Genomic DNA, 17,500 nt, shown 5'->3' with positions numbered 1-17,500 from the left:
AAAGTTGTTTCAGATTTGCTACCACAGAACGTGGATGCTGTAATGAAAGACTGTTAGAATAAGGAAACTTTTTTTTTTTTTTAGTTTCTTGTGTCTTTTTTCCAGATTTACATTTGTTTGGATTACTTGGCTTGTTTATTTCAAGAACCTAAGCAATTGATGTCCTGTTTTTCCAATTCTGTTTGATATTCAAAATGACACATTTGGAATGGTTCCAAGACTGAACAGTTTTTTATTTAAAACAGAGTAATACCCAGGGCACCATTGCACAGGAAGGGAATAATCACTTAGCGTGGCATTTTGGGTGGATTTGGAGTGTTAGCATGTGCTTTAAAAAAAAACTGTGTAAGCCGTTATTACTACTTGGGAAAAAAGACCAACAAAGCTTGTGTTCGATAGAAAATGGAATAGTATAGTCAACAGTATAGTACTCCTAACAGTGAACTTAAAGAGGCAAAATCTGAGTATATTTTCGATGTATGTTATGATTTATTAGAGATTAGGAAATGACTCATCTGCGGTATAAATCTGTGTAATGGCTAGGCCATCATCAGGGAAAAGGTAAAAGATTTGTAGAAAATGTATGGGAGGAGAGAAAGGCATTTAATTTAAAGTCCAGTGATTTGTGTGTTCCTTTCAGCATATGAGATCAGAAAAGTCAGGCTTCTCTTCAGTCAAGGTTTCTCTACCAATTTAACTGGAAAATGAGAAACGAGGAGAACAACATTTTGCACCCAGTTTTTGTGTTTCTGGGTTGCCAAATCCATTTGTGTCATGTTCCTAATTCTCTGTTCCCCATAAATCTTTTAAAGTCATAAATGAAGCCACGGTCCCTGTTCATGAATTCCAACCGTCTAGATCTCCGATTCATTCCAGTTCTCATCCATATGCATTCCTTACAGCAACATAACTTAAATGGATTTCTGTGGCTTATCTGGTTGTTTTTGAATCCTTGTGGTGGTGATTTTAAAAATTAACCTCACCTATCTTTGTACCTATGTTAATTCGTTTTGCAGTTGAAAAGAGCAGGCAAAAGAATCCTCGAAGCTTATGTATCCAGCCACAGACAGCTCCCGATGCGCTGCCCCCTGAGAAAACACTTGAATTGACGCAATATAAAACAAAATGTGAAAACCAAAGTGGATTTATCCTGCAGCTCAAGCAGCTTCTTGCCTGTGGTAATACCAAGTTTGAGGCATTGACAGTTGTGATTCAGCACCTGCTGTCTGAGGTAAGGAGGTGCATCCTAGAAAGAGCCTTTCTACTTGAGGTCGGGGGAGCACGGGGAGGACTTGCTCACACGCTGGCCTTGGGAATATCTAGGTAAATGATGGGAAAGATCAGGTGTCATTCATCCCATTACATTTTTGTCACTTCACCAGATACTTGAGTCGGTCTCTAGCAATTTGGGATGGAAACATTTTCTCACTTCCTTTTTTTCCCCTAGAGTCTGTTGGTTAGAATGGCAACAGCAAAAAACATAATTGCCTCTTACGCCGGTGTATGCCTCTAGACCTAAACTAGCATTAGCATTTTTTTCACTTAATTTGTGTGTTTGTCTGTGTGTAGCTTTTCATATCACACTTAGTTTAATGCTTTGAAAAATGACGTTAGTTATATTTATGGATTAAAGAGCACTTTTGAGTTAACTCCCTGAATCATATCTGGGGATTCTTTCTGAAAGTTCTGTTTATTCCTAAAACAATCTCTGTGGTGCAACAAAAGCAAAGCAGATTTGCCGTGTTGTTACTTTTCCCTAATATTCTTCAGGGATGTTATTTCAGGAACTGGCTAAAATTCATTGAGAAAACCAAGTTTATATCAACATGTTACTGACATAGCAATAAAAGCTGTAATTATCTCAGGGGGCAACTGATAAGAATACAACTTGAGCTCTTCAGACATTTTTTAAATCACAGTTTTAAAGATGGCTATACATGATAATGCAAAGGGGAAAAAAAAAGACTGGCTCAGTACTGTGGCTCATGCCTGGAATCCCAGCATTTTGGGAAGACGAGGAGGGAGGATCGCTTGTGGTCAGGAGTTCAAGACCAGCCTGAGCAACATAGGGAAAAAATAAAAATTAAAAGCAAAAAGAAAACTGTTCAGTTTGGTTGTTCTGTAGTTTTGTTCAGATCAACAAACCTGTCCTGGTTTCATACAGAGGCCCCTGTAATATGGCTGCCTTTTTAGGGAGTGGGGAGAGAGAGAAGTGGATGAGACTTGGTCTGTGCCTTGGAGAAACTACCAGACTAGTAGACAGTTTCAATGAATTCTCTTTTTTTTTGAGACAGACTCTCACTCTGTCGCCCAGGCTGGAGTGCAGTGGCGCCATCTCAGCTCACTACAAGCTCTATCTCCCGGGTTCATGCCATTCTCCTGCCTCAGCCTCCCGAGTAGCTGGGACTGCAGGCACCCGCCACCACGCCCGGCTAGTTTTTTGTATTTTTAGTAGAGACGGGGTTTCACTGTGTTAGGCAGGATGGTCTCGATCTCCTGACCCTGTGATCTGTCTGCCTCGGCCTCCCAAAGTCCTGGGATTACAGGCATGCGCCACTGCGCCCAGCCTTAATGATTTCTTGATGAGTATTTTACAGCTTTCTCCAGATTTTTTTGTTTTTGTTTTTGTTTTTGTTTTTTTTGAGGGGAAGTTGGAGACTACTTAGGGTTTTAGTAACGGTAATAGTATATGGTATTTTTGTTTCTCTTTCATTTGTAAGAAAGGAATCAAGAGTGTGTTTATATAACCAAGTAAGCTAACTAGAAACTGTATACTATCAAATGTGGGGAACAATTAGTTTTTATGTTTAGAAATAAACCAATTATTTTATTTTATTATATCTAGCCTAATAGCCCCCATCCTCAACTGTTTTCTCTCCTTTCATCCTCCTCATGACGTCAGTCAAGTCCTGTGAACTCTCATTTCACAGTGCTTTTCCCCTTCCTATGTCTTTGCTGTCCCCATTCATGCCATCCTTGCTCAGACCCTGGATAGCTTCCACTAGATCATGATAGCAACTTTTTTTTTTTTTTTTTTTTTTGGGATGGAGTCTTGCTCTGTCACTCAGACTGGTATGCAATGGCGTGATCTGGGCTCACTGCAACCTCCACCTCCCGGGTTCAAGTGATTCTCCTTCCTCAGCCTCCCGAATAGCTGGGATTACAGGCACCCGCCACCATGCCCGACTAGTTTTTGTAATTTTCTAGTAGAGACAGGGTTTCACCATGTGGGCCAGGCTGGTCTTGAACTCCTGACCTCAGGTGATCCGCTCACCTCGGCCTCCCAAAGTGCTGCAATTACAGGCGTGAGCCACTGCGCCCAACCTGTGATAGCACCTTTTTAACCAATCATTAGGCTTGTACTGTTTCTCACCTATAATCCATCCCAAGCACTGCTGACAGCGTCCTCTTACCAAAGCATCCCACGCTGCTGATTAAATCTTCCAGTGGTTCTCCCTTATCTACAGCTGATGTGTCCAGTGTGGTAGCCACTAGCCATATGAGACTGAGCATTCGAAATGTAAATCCGTTGAATTGAGATGTGTGGTAAGTGTACAATACACTTGGATTCCAAAAACTTAGAATGAAAACAAAGGATGTAAAATATCTCATTAACAACTTTTATATTGAATATATTGAAATATTATTTTATATATATATTTGGGTTAAATAAAATACGTTATTAAAATTAGCTTCATCTTTTTCAACTTTTCTCAGCGTGGCTACTAGGAAATTTATAATTACGTAACTCATGTTATTTTGTTTTGGGGAGTCTGGTTTTCAACTGGTACTATAAGGCTCTTTATCATTTGGCAACAACTGCCCCTTTTAATGTTATTATCATGCCCAGATGCTGTAGCCGTACATAAAGAGATGGAGGAGAAGCAAGAGGGATTTATTGAATACTAGGTTTGAGCAAAAGTAATTGCGGTTTTGCCATCATGCCAAAAGCTACAGTTACTTTTGCACCAGCCTAATATTTACTAAGTGCCAGATATTCTTACTTACCTTATTTAAATCCTCACCAAAGACACGAGTTGGAATTTACAAATATGAAAATTGAGGCATAGAGTTAGGTAATTTGCCTGCTATCAGACAGCTAGCAAGAGGAGAACCAGGACGTAAACCTAGGTCTAGGAAGCTATCAACTAAAAATGTCCTGTAAACTTCCTGTACGTCATCCATTGTTCACGTATCATTACTGGGTTGCTGTCCTTGCCCACAATACCTACATGTTCAGGTCGGTTTTACAGCAGCATCACATCACCACTTGCATTTAATTTACATAGATTCAGTACACAAACAACTGAAGGAAGAAAAATGCAGGCCGGGCGCTGTGGCTCACACCTGTAATCCCAGCACTTGGGGAGGCCAAGGCGGGTGGATCACCTGAGGTCAGAAGTTCGAGACCAGCCTGACCAATATGGTAAAACCCCATCTCCCCTAAAACTACAAAAATTAGCCATGTGTGGTGGCATGTGCCTGTAGTCCCAGCTACTCGGGAGGCTAAGGTAGAAGAATCACTTTACTTTGAGAGGTGGAGGTGGCAGTGAGCCAAGATCGCACCACTACACTCCATCCTGGGCAACAGAGCGAGATTCCAACTTAAAAAAAAAAGAAAAAAAGCAAATTAAATGAAGAACACAAGTCCACCTTGTATTCCCCCCAGTGAACGAAGGCCCGGGAGTCAATTTGAGATGAAGGTCAGGAGTCCACCCTTCCTTCATGTGTCTGCTCAGTCCCCGAACACCTCTTGTGGCGTGAGCATTCTATACTCTCTGCTATCTTAGTGTTTAAAGATACTTTTCCCTCATGCAACCTGGCCTCTAAACACAAGCCGAGGCCTTTATCAGGTGCTCAGTTATAGAGAGAGTTGATCCAACGCTAGAGGAAAAAAATTCACTGGGTTGGATCTACAGAGAGATGCATTGTCCACAAACATGGCAAGCTCCTAGTGAATTTCCCAGACAATTGTACTGTGTGTGAATTTCACCTTATACTTAAATTTAGGTCCTGACAGCCAAGGAATTGTGACTGCACTGAATACAGCTCCAGAACCCGCTTTTTTTTTTTTTTTTTTTTTTTTTTTTTTTTGCGACAGTGGCCTTGCTCTGTCACCCAGTCTGGAGTGCAGTGGCGCAATCTCAGCTCACTGCAACCTCCGCCACCTGGGTTCAACCAGTTCTCCTGACTCAGCCTCCTGAGTAGCTGGGATTACGGATGCCCACCACCATACCCAGATAATTTTTGTATTTTTAGTAGAGATGAGGTTTCACCATGTTGGCCAGGCTGGTCTTAAAGTCCTCACCTCAAGTGATCCACCTGCCTCGGCCTTCCAAAGTGCTGGGATTACAGGCATGATCCACCACTCCCAGTCCAGAACCCACTCAGGAATGATTTCCTGGCCTTCTAGATCTACGTTCTGTTCCCGTCTGGATTCCAGGAGCATATATGCTTCTCTTTCATTGTCTGTGTTATATTAGAGATACCGGTTTAATGCTTGTTTTTGCTTTTTAAGACAGGAAATTTACTGAAGGCAGGATCTGCATCTAGTTCTTTCTTATGAAACCACCCCAGCAGCTTTAATAGTCAACACAGTATATATGTGAGTGAACATATGAACGGAGAGGATGGAATTCCAGATGTAGGATGAGCATAAAGTCTTATGTAAATGTTCTTTGCTCTCTTTATTTTATAATCAGCAAATATTTACTGATTGTGTAATGTATACTGAGCACTATTATAAAACAGTTGGAGGCTAGGCATGGTGGCTCACACCTGTAATCCCAGCACTTTGGGAGGCTGAGGCGGGTGGATCGCTTGAGGTCCAGAGTTTGAGACCAGTCTGGCCAACATGGCGAAACCCTGTCTCTACCAAAAAATACAAAAATTAGCCAGGCATGGTGGCATGTGCCTGTAGTCCCAGCTACTCAAGAGACTGAGGCATACGAATCGCTTGAACCCAATAGGTGGAGGTTGCAGTGAGCCAAGATCGCACCACCGCACTCCAGCCTGGGTGACAGTGAGACCCTGTCTCAAAAAATAAATAAATAAATAAATAAATAAATAAAATAAAAATAGTTGGAGAAAAAAAATCATGGGTAAAGTTAAACAATTTTAAAAACTCCCTTAACCTTTTAGTTCCCATTCCCATTACAGAAGTATATATACTGTGTTTATACACACACACACACACACACACGCGCGCGCACACATGCATATGTATATAAAATAGATACAGATACACATTGTATACATATACATTATGTATGTTTTTTATATACATGATATACCTATACATTGTATGTCTATGTATTTTTATATATGTATAATATATAGGTATTTGTGTGTGTGTGTGTATATATATTTTTTGTTATTGCTAACCTTTTCTAAATGGCTTTAGAGCCTTCGATTATGGGTGAAAATGGTTAAGAGAATCTTGCAACTACCATGCTTTTGTTGCAAGTCTACTTAGTAACTATAAGTTTCCCACTGTAGTGGCAGACATATTTCATTACATATCAGACATTCTTATATCTCATGAATCTGAGAACTAATGTCACACTCTGTTTCGCAGAAGACACACTAAAGTTATTTTAGTTTTTTTCTAATTCTTGGTTTATCCTTGCTTAGTTAGACGGTATTCTGCACAGACAGCCAAAGTGAACAACAGTATTGATGGTAGTAATTAAGCTTCTTCCTAAAAGGGTCTATTGGGTGGCTTTCTAGGTAAACTTGAACAGGGCTGAGGTCACCCTCCCCAAACCTCTAATTCTTCAAAATGCCTCCACATCTTTTTTTTTTTTTTTTGCAAGTGGAATTTAACCTAAAGTAGCACCTGAACAAAGGTGAATTTTGAATGGCACTAGCAGTAAAGTTGACTTGGAACAAAAAAACATAGATGCATTGAGCAAATTCACTGTGTGGGTGATGGGGAGGAGGTCAGATGCAGCACACGTCTGAGCCATCTGATGTGGCTATTCTCTGCAAGATGCTCTATGCTGTTGATGCTACTCAGTGGCTAGCAAAAATGCAGGCACACCGATGGGACCACAGCCAGAGACTAAGTGCCTGTGTCCCAGGGACTCCTAATTCAATTATGGTGAATCCATTTTTTTTTTCTTGAGCATTTCATATATTTAATGCCTGAGCATAAAGGCATCTTTATATCCAGATTTCCACCTTTCTCTTTTTTCACATTGTGTGTAATTCTGCATGTTACAATACAAAGAGAATTGAATCAACCTGTTATCTAGACGGTTAAGAGTTTATCATCTAAGAGAGAAACACTGATCTAGGAGCAGCTGAGTAAAAAGAAACAGTAAATCAGTATCTAAAGGACATAATGCATTTTATCATCTACAAGTAAAGGGTAAGTACATGTAAAGGCCAAGCTACCAGGGAGAGTCAGGCAGAAACTAACCCTTAGTATGTGTCTTTTACAGTATGGGCACTGGGGTCAGCATTTCATCTATGGATGGTATTTAAAGCCCTTGGTTTTTTTCATTACTGCTTCCCATCCGATGAGGTCATCTGCCTTGATAGATGACCAAAAGAATTGAGCCTGGATGTTCTAGTTCTAGGTAGGCCCCATGCTTCTTGAAGGCAGGGACCATGTCTTAAATTTCTTTTATATTTTCACAGCATCTGCTATGAAAAATGCTTAGTTAATTAGTTTGAAGTAATAAGTTACCAACCAATTTAGAAGGGTAAATGGTCTATGCATTTGGAGGAGGGGAATGGTGTCACATTACAAGGGAAGAACCAACTGACTTTTGCACAACCCATTTAGACAAAGAGTGAAAGATGACCTCAAGGTTTTCCTGTTACTGTTACTGTGCCTGACAGAGGTTGGAAGATGTCAGTAGTTTCTGAGGCATTAAGGACAGGAACGTGGAGTGCAGTGGAGTTGAAGTTTGGGGAAATGTCGACATGCTTGGTGAAACTCCCTTTCCCAAAACCTCCCTTAATAAGCAAAAATATCACCTGGTGTATTTTTGCAGTAGAACATAATGATTTCACACAATTTTTCTTTGCAGTTATACTAACTGTAATTTTTAATTTCTTTCATCCTCCCATTAGTTTCCATAAATTTGAAAAATGATTGAATTTTCTTGCCATCTCTTCCTTCTGTTAGTAACTTGGTTACTACTGAAAAGTGAATTTTAAGCAAGTTCACCAAATGAGTTTCAGGATTGTTTGTGGGCATTTAGTAAAGCTGTCTTGTTTTTCCTGTTACTTGAGTGGTAAAGCTTCCTGGTGTTTACTTGAAGTAGATTACTAAACAAAATTCAGGCTTAAATTTGATATTACGAGAAGTATTTATGATACATATTTTTATGTTTTTCTTCCATTATTATGCGGGCTGATTTTCCTCAGGCTTTAATTTCTACATTAGAAAACCAATTACTTATTATTTTAAGAAACTCTGACTCACTGGTGATTTCAGAACAACTTAATGCCATATTTTTAAAAACCAAGCATTTAGAATACCATTGAAGCCAGAAAGGTACTCAGTGAAAAGTGGGTCTTAAATCCCAGTCCCTGCTGACCACGTTTCAGTGCTGGCGTTTAGACTTGACTTCCGTAGCTCTTACTGAGAGGTGAGAACAAAGTAAAAGTTAAAAATATATGGGATCTCCAACTCTCAGATCAGCACTTCAGACTTATTTTGAAACACCTCTCATTTCATAATGTCATTTAAATTTGTAAACGACAGCATGCCCCTTTCCTTGCTCTTCACCTAGTTCATAACCTCATTTAGTATATGGGCTTCGAAGAACAAGTTTCCCTTTTCTATTAGTAAGTGTGATCAAATAATGACCACAATTAGAGAGGGGAAGAAAAAGGCTCACAAGTCTAAAAATAACTCCATTATCCATGCAGAGGGGGTCAGTTTTTTCTTTCCTCCGTTGCAGCTGATATTTAACTAAATGGCAATCGATCAGTCTAATGCCTGCCTCTCGTTTTTCATAAATGAAAGGCTGTGGCTTTAAGTAATCACAGGCTGCCTGTGCCAAAGGCAGAAGCTGCAGTATCAGCTTCTGTGAGTGAGGAATCCGAGGCACACGGTAACCTGCAGGACATGAAGTAAGACGCCCGAGGGCCAATGGCGCGCCTCCTGCTAGAGCTTTGAATGTAGACAGACCCGACTGGTGGGTGGCGCGGCCACCTGTATGCTTCTTGCACAGTGCGAGGGGTGGGGGGACTTGGAGACAGAAGCTGGAAAATGGGCTGCCCCAGCAGCAAACTGTGCCTCTATTCTCCATGTGCAGCAACAAGGGTAATTAGTATTTGTTTATAGTGCTTTTCTGGAAGAATGTCAGGACTACTGCAGAGGCTGTCTGGAATTCAGGGAAAATGCTTTGAATGACAAGCAACTCTTGCCTGCAAAGGCCGGGTCTCATGATCTCTGCAACGCTGTGATCAGGATGTGGTGGGAGCTCCGTCTTGGGTGATCCTCGTGAGGGCATTTTTCAGCGAGCTTTGAAATTCTTCATTTTTTTTTTAGTTACTCCCTGGTGCTAGGGAATCTACCTTTTAAGGAACTGTATGTAATTACTGTATTTGTGTAAGTATGTGTGTATGTGTGATTGCCGGGAGTTGCTGGTAACTTGAACATTATTCTTCAGCTCAAGGTTGATACTTGCTTCTCTGATACTAAAAACAGCCATCCGGTTTTCTTTGGTTTGTTTCTCTAACATCGATTTAGAATTATCACTGATCCAAAATATCATAATCCTTAGAAAATGGTATGTAGCTGAAAAAAATTAATTTAATTTTGTCTTTAAAGGATTATCTTTCTGCTATAGCTTTCTAACAAACTTTTTGTCTTTCTTTTAGAAGGATTGGCATTGTAACGAAACTTTTTTATGTGCAAATATAGGACAAAGTGCATATATGTGCTTATGTTTAGAACATTAAATATTTATCTTAAACTGATTAGATGTTTATTGCCCTTGGAGGAGGAGAACGCATTACATCTTAAGTACAGTATGCATTAGCCGAAAGGTTCTATGGATCAGCAGTGAAGCACTGGCTCAAAGTAAATATTTCTAAATGGGCCATTCACTGCGTCAAACCAAAGTTTCACTGGGACCTGCAAAAATACAGATTTTTGAATTACGAATTTCCTTAACAGCTAAGGGACAACTGTGTTTCTTTTAACAACACAAATTGTTAGCCTAAATGATTCATATCTTGGCTTCCCAATACTGGGTCTCATTTTCCTAGTGATAACAAATGTGTACCTTACTGAAAGGGACCCTCTTGAAAGCATGAGTAACTTGATGTGTGTTTTCCGCAGCGGGAGGAAGCACTGAAACAACACAAAACCCTATCTCAAGAACTTGTTAACCTCCGGGGAGAGCTAGGTAAGAGCTTTTTGTTGTTGTTGTTAAATTTTATGGGACAAGGGGAACACTGGAAAATGTGGTTGTCCTGTCTGCGTTGTGGCTGGAGTTGCATGCTGGGAGCTGTTGGCACTCCCTGTCTAGTATCTGGGCAAACACTTACTATCGACATTTCTTTTGAATCTTGGCAGCTTGACCTTCAGTTCACAGAATTCCTGGCACTGATCTGACTAAGCCTAGCAGAACTTCTGATGAGCAAAATATTTCTCTTGCTGAAGAGAGGGACAGAGTTATTTTTGTAATTGTGTGAATTCCTGTTAAATAATGTTGTCATTTTTTTTTCTGAAGCACTTTTCATATGAGAATAGTGAAAGTTTCCCCTCTTGATAAACAGTAAATCCGTTGTACTTCCAAGGGTTGGTTTGTGAGTAGTGAGTATGAAGTTGAAAGGATGCTGTCCATGAAGGCAACTTGGCTGAAAAAGGCACGTTCTATGCTAATCTTACTATTTGGAGGGGGGCTGATGGTTCACCACCTCCCCGCTCCACAGGGAGCCCCACGTCTCAACACCTACCACCCAGCCCTGCAGTTTACATGTCTCAACACCCACCACCCAGCCCTGCAGTTTCCAGGTCTCAACACCCACCACCCAGCCCTCCAGTTTCCAGGCTACGCTGTTATTTTAGTTCCATTCTCTCCTGGAAGCCCTTAGGGTTCATGGAACAGACACGACACTGCCTTTGCTTTGTTTTGCTTTTCTCTTTTCTGTTTCTTTTTCTTTTTTTTTTGAGACGGAATCTTGCTCTGTCACCAGACTGGAGTGCAGTGGTGCGATCTCGACTCACTGCAACCTCCGCCTCCCGGGTTCAAGCAATTCTCCTGCCTCAGCCTTCCGAGTAGCTGGGACAACAGGAGCACACCACCACACCCAGCTAATTTTTGTATTTTTAGTAGAGATGGGGTTTCGCCATGTTGGCCAGGAGGGTCTCCATCTCTTGACCTTGGCCTCCCAAAGTACTGGGATTATAGGTGTGAGCCACCGCACCCAGCCGACACTCCCTTTTCTACGTCAACTCGTATCTTGGAGTGATCTGACCGCTTTGGGGTTCTTCTCTCTGCCCTGGGCTCCTCAACCTAGAGAATCAACTTCCTGCTTCAGCTTCAGCCAGATCTGGAGCTGACCATTCTAGGGCTTATTTCCTTGCCCTTTGCAGTTTTCTGTGTGTGTTACAGTCTCCACCAAAATATGCCCAGGTATGTTGTATGAATAATGCAAGGTAACATCCAGAGAAGCAAATTGTGTTCACCCAACTCTAGGAGAAACTGCCCTTTTTTCTTTTGGACAAGACCACACTGCCAACCTGATTTGCTGGATTTGAACACTCTTAATTCTCCCACCTTCACCACAGCAGAAATCAAACGGCAGTGAACGTGGGGTCAAGACTTTGTCTGGGCTGGGTGTGGTAGCTCACACCTGTAATCCCAGCGCTTTGGGAGGCTGAGGTGGGAGGATCACTTGAGGCCAGCAGTTTGAGACCAGCTTGAGCAATATAGCAAGACCCTGACTCTACAAAAAATAATTTAAAAATCAGCCAAGCATGGTGGTGTGTGCCTGTTGTCCCAGCTACTCTGGAGTGTGAGGTGGGAAGATTGCTTGAGCCCAGGAGTTCGAGACTGCAGTGAGCTGTCATTGTGCTGCTGCCCTCCAGTCTGGCCAACAGAGCAAGACTCTGTAAAAGACTTCTCTGCATTCATCTTCCCTTTTCCCCTTCCAGTGGGAGGTGAGGCCAAATCCCTGACTAACCGTCCAGATTCTTAATACCTAGCCAAGACATCAGTCCTCACTTTATTTTAGGCTGTGGAAATGAAGGCCTCTTTATGGAAAAGTAATTTTAAGACAGATGGAAACTTCAGAATCCCAAAGACTTGAGAGTTCTGGTGAAACAGTTCAAGGAAATCCCAGCTGAGAGACAGCCCAGCTCTCAGACTTTGCAGGCTTTCTGCCATGTTACTTAACTTGACAGCAGCCCTTATGATTACCTAAATGACCAACCCAACTTGCTTTTGTCCATGCCTTAAATAACATAATTAACAGAGTTAGAAGATCAGGAAAGAGGCCTTTTTGTGTGTGTTTCAGAGTTCATTATAACCCAGTGGAAGTGGAGGTGAGCCTACCTAGAGGTTCACATTTCAGCCTCTCTCCGAAGACAAGGCAGCAATGAGAATGGAACACTGTGCCCATTCGCTCTGCTTCAATGAAGGATGCTCTTTTTACATTTTAGTGGACAGCACAATTAAGCAACCGCAGTTGGGGCCCAGGGATTCAGCACCTCCAGTGAGTCAGGTAGCCTGACAGGAAATAGCTGTAACAGTCTGTGCCCACTGTCACCTTCCTATCCTTGATAAGGAAGCTGTCCTGGTGCACTGCTTCTCCTGCCTCCCGAGTGTTGGTACAGTGGGTGGCCTATCCAGATCCCCAGTCACCCAGTGCTGGCTTCTTAGGGAATGTGTCATTGCTGCTGTTGCAGCAGGCATACATCTGATGGTAACCGTTCTCCGTTTGGAGAAGGGTTTTGGTTCTGTAAGTGGAGGGAAGCGAAACCTGTAAACACTTGTGATGAAGCGGTCCAGGAAGAACACTCTCAAGGCTGCCAGTGGGATTGTTAGTTTCAGCATGAAACTAACTTTGACATTGACATAGCAAAGTTGGGAACCCAGTTTTAAATTTTGAGGCAGTAAAGTGGTTAGGCTGATGTTGTCACACTGTCCGGGGCCACATTTGTGGTAACTGAGTGACTTAGGACAAGTCACTTTGTATCTCTTCTGTCCCAATTTCATCCTCGGTAAAAATGGCGATGCTAATTGTCTGCCCCAAGGGTGGGTGTGAGGATTACATGAGGTAATGCATTGTAAAGCATCTAGCACCAAGTGTTAACTGCTATTAAATAATAGGTATTAGGATGTATGCAGCTTGACAGCTGTGTAGTAATTAACCACACTGGCTGTTTTGTGAGGGCATCATCTATGCTACAGAAAGGAATAATCATTAGACTAAATATTCCTAGAAATCCCAAACGACAGGCTCTTCAAACTCAAGTGGAAATGAGACCTCATCAGAGTATTCTCCTGATCCAGTAGAGTGTGGTGTGTGGAGTCAAAGCCTAGGTTTTTGTCCATCCACTCCTAGTTGGATGTTACCTAACTTCTTTGAGTATGGTTTTTTCGCTGGTGATATGAAATCAGTATGTATTTTGCTGCGTTATTGTGGAGCTTGAATAAAATAGTAATGCATATAAAGCAGTGGTGTAGTGCCTGGCCCATCACAGCAACTCAAGAAAAGAGAGCTGCCACTATCGCCGTCATCAAAGCACCCACTTCTTCCCTCCAAAATAATGGGGGTGGGGCGATGGGAGTTGGTGTCACTCTCCCATTGGGTAATTTTTCTTCACCTTCTCAATGAAAGTTGAGACAAGGTACCCAAACTACTAAGAACTGCAAAGAAAAAGGACAGTTCATAAACTCAGGAGCACTGAAACCCAGGTAGAGTCTGTGCTTTCCACCTTCCGCATCTAACAGCCTCCAGCTGTCCCAGCATCCACTGACTTTCCCGTTGTTCCCTCAGTCTCACTGTGGCAGTGTCCAAAGCAGCCTGTGTGTTTCCACTGTCTGAGCCACACTCCCTTCATGGAAGCACTGGTTCTTTGCTTCTGCAGAAACTCTTAAAAGTGTCCCTTTGGTCCAGTGATTTTTTGATACTCTACGTTGATGTCTTTACTGTCTCGTGTTTTCTTGTTACCTTCAGGTATAAAGTCCATAATTGTAGGGATTCTTTTCTGTTTCCTATGGAAAAATAATATAATATGCTTTCTGTTTTCTTGGGTACTCGATAAATATTTTTGGGTATTTTAAGTTTTAAAGTTTTTTTTTTTTTTAGAACAATGTATGAAAATTAAGATTTTTAAGTGAAAAGAAAACAGCCGGCAGCTCCACTGCCCTGACATAACTTTATTTGCATATTCCCTTTTCTTAGTTTATATGAATATATACAACTTCATACTACGATTTTTTAAATTAAGGTGTAATTTTCATACAGCGGAATGCTAATTATTCCATCAGTTTGACAGACATATACTCCTAAAACCTACATCCTTATCAAGCATAGACTATTTCTGTCAATCCAGTAAATTCCCTCATGCCATTTCACAGTGGAACACCCCTCCCCCTAGAAGCAAACACTGATTTAACCTTTATTATCAAAGGTTTTGTCTGAACTAGATTCTCATTTAAATGGAAAGATATAGTATGCTGTTTTTTGTCTCTGGCTTGTTTCATAATACTTTTGAGATTTGTGTATGTTAAGTGTCTGCTCCAATCTTTTTTTTTTAAAGACAGGGTCTTGCTCTGTTGCCAGGCTGGAGTGCACTGGCACTATCTCGGCTCACTGTGACCTCTGCCTTCCGGGTTCAAGCAGTTCTCCTGCCTCAGCCTCCCGAATAGCTGGGATTATAGGTGCATACCACCATGCTGGGCTAATTTTTGTATTTTTAGTAGAGACAGGGATTCACCATATTGGTCAGGCTGGTCTCTAACACTTGCCTCAAGTGATCCGCCCGTCTCGGCCTCCCAAAGTGCTGGGATTACAGATGTGAGCCATGGCACCTGGTCAGATGTCTGCTGTGATCTTTTTCACTGGATAGGTCAAGCACTTTTCCACATTGCCTCATAGTGTTCATTATGATCACCTTTAATGGGCTGGGGGAAAGTCTGTCAAGTGGCTGTCCCATACGTTCACTTACCCCTTAAATAGTGTCATAGTATATAGCAAGGGTTTCATTGCCAGCTGTTTTCTCATCCATTCCCATGGTTTCCGCTACTACCTATACAACAGTGACACAGATTTATTTTTCTAGTTCTCTCCTTCCCAAGCTGCAGATGCTTCCCAGTGAGGGGCTGCCCCCAGGTGAGCCAGTCCAGTATAATCAGACCTTCCTGATGGTCCAGCCCCTTCCTTCCTGAGCGCCATGCAGCGTCTCCTCATTCACCCCTGTTCCTCAGCTTTGGCAGGGTCGATATGATTCACTTACCACCCAAGCTAACAACTGAAATCATACTCCTGTTCCCCCATCCTCCACGTGCATGTCAGTCTGTGTCCTAAATGCCACTTGGATCCATCCCTGCTCAGCATTCTGGCTGCTGCTGTTTTAAGTCCCACAATTTCTCACCTGGAAGATACTGCAACAGCTACCCAATGGGTCACCTTGCCTCCAGGCCTGCGCCCCCAACTCCACTTGCGGCCAGGATCTGTACTTAGAGTCAGGCTGACATGTGTCTCTACTGGACATTTTGTTTTTTTTGTTTTTTAGAAGGAGTTTTCTACCCTGTCACCCATGCTGGAGTGCAGTGGCATGATCTTGGGTCACTGCAACCTCCACCTCCTGGATTCATGTGACTGTCCTGCCTCAGCGTCCCGAGTAGCTGGGAATACAGGTGCGCACCACCACGGCCGGCTAATTTTTGTATTTTAGTAGAGACGAGGTTTCACCATGTTGGCCAGGCTGGTCTCGAACTCCTGACCTCAGGTGATCCACCTGCTGCGGCCTCCCAAAGTGTTGGGATTATAGGCTTGAGCCACCACTCCTGGCCTGTACTGGACATTTTTAACAAACACAAAAGACTCTATTTTGGCCTTGGGGGAAAAAATCCAGACATACTAAGCACACCATTTATGATTTGACTGATTGAAATCTTCCAGTCCAAATTCACGTCTAGGCACTCTTTCCCCTTTGTTCAGACCTCCTTTCCCCTCCCAGGCCCCGGCCATGGGTTCATTTGCACCTCTTGTCCACATCTTTTGCACGGTATCCTCTCTGCCTGGAGTGCACTCTCCTCTTTCCACTCCCCTCCCGTCGCGGACCCCTCATGCTCCTTCTCTTTTACTCAGTTTTTAAGTCTTAGCTAAAATATCTTCAATTGAATTTCACCCAAATCTTTCAAGTAAGTTAACTGTGCCTTCTAGTGTGCTTTTCAAAGCACCCTGTACACATTTAAGATTTTGTTCTTACAGAGATTTGTTTATAGACCTCTTCTTGCCATCTAGAATTAGGAACTCTTCAAGGGCAAGGCCAATAGCTCCTTAATTTTTGTAGTTCTCCCACCTTGTGCTTGGCACTTAGCAGGTGCTTAGACTTCAATCAATGAATGATTTTATTACCAACAGTGGTAGCTAGGGAAAGGTAGTTTTCTTCTTAAAATATGCTAATACTCAGTGTTTTTTATGCACAAATGTTTTTCTATAAACCGTTTAACATTTCTATGACAAACACATATGGACACAAAGAGGGGAACAGCAGACACTGGGGCCTGCCTGAGGGTGGAGGGCGGGAGGAGGGAGAGGAGCAGAAAAAATAACTATCGGGTACTGGGCTTAGTACCGGGGTGATGAAATATTCTGTACAACAAGCCCCTGTGATTCAAGTTGACCCAAATAACAAACCTGCACATGTGCCCCTGAACCTAAAATAAAAGTTTAAAGCAGAGTCAGAATAATTAAAAAATGAAATCCACATCTTGAAAAGAAAAGATAATTGTCCTTTAGGAATGCATAGTCATAAAGGAGAGCTGTAACTCTCTTGGATACATTTTATATTATGTCCGACAATCCCAGTTAATCAGATCATTTTGAAAGTGTCAGCCTTGGAAATAGATTACAGTTAAATGGTCTACATCTGCAGCAGACATTTTGCCTCTAGGATAAGATTCTTTCCAGAGTCATGTTGAATAACAGCTGGTGCAATAGAGGGCCATGATTATGATCTTTAGAGTTCTTTTTGCTTTTCATTAATGTTAATCCTTGGAATCAGACTTTTCATCTAAATCAGGGGTGTCCAATCTTTTGGCTTCCCCGGGCCACGTTGGAAGAAGAATTGTCTAGTGCCACACATAAAATGCACTAACACTAGCAAATAGCTGATGACGAAAAGAAAAAAATTCACACATCTCATAATGTTCTAAGAAAGTTTACAAATTTGTGTTGGGCCGCATTCAAAGCTGTCCTGGGCCACGTGCAGGCTGTGAGTTGGACAAGCTTGATCTAAATTAATGAAGATTATTTTGTATTTCAAAATTATTTTTGAGCCATCACAATTAAC

The 17,500-nt window shown here is 42.0% G+C and overlaps 1 protein-coding gene and 1 non-coding gene across 14 annotated transcripts in view, besides 1 other annotated feature; both read left to right on the top strand.

Moving 5' to 3' along the window:
* The window catches only part of MTUS1 (microtubule associated scaffold protein 1), a 157,720-nt gene that overhangs the window by 115,963 nt on the left and 24,257 nt on the right, over positions 1–17,500 (top strand). For 11 of the 13 annotated variants that reach the window (NM_001363061.2, NM_001363060.2, NM_001363062.2 and 8 more), the window contains 2 exons: positions 1,017–1,231; positions 10,307–10,373. In NM_001363061.2, coding sequence (NP_001349990.1) covers positions 1,017–1,231; positions 10,307–10,373 — 282 coding nt within the window. Of the gene's footprint in view, positions 1–1,016; positions 1,232–9,066; positions 9,284–10,306; positions 10,374–17,500 lie in introns of those variants that run through there. The other 2 variants (NM_001330470.2, NR_156437.2) reach the window with 2 other exon arrangements.
* MIR548V (microRNA 548v) lies at positions 3,902–3,981 on the top strand. Its single transcript, NR_036103.1, has one exon. It is a non-coding gene; the product is annotated as a microRNA 548v (primary transcript).
* Positions 10,145–10,439: a silencer, noted in NCBI's record as "tiled region #14364; K562 Repressive non-DNase unmatched - State 22:ReprW". NCBI's record gives its function as "represses a minimal TATA promoter and a strong SV40 promoter by Sharpr-MPRA in K562 cells {active_cell/tissue: K562}" and the evidence as "EXISTENCE:reporter gene assay evidence [ECO:0000049][PMID:27701403]".

Source organism: Homo sapiens, chromosome 8 (genome assembly GCF_000001405.40).
Source record: "Homo sapiens chromosome 8, GRCh38.p14 Primary Assembly".
Classification (NCBI taxonomy): domain Eukaryota; kingdom Metazoa; phylum Chordata; class Mammalia; order Primates; family Hominidae; genus Homo; species Homo sapiens.
This window is presented reverse-complemented; position numbering and strand designations above follow the sequence as displayed.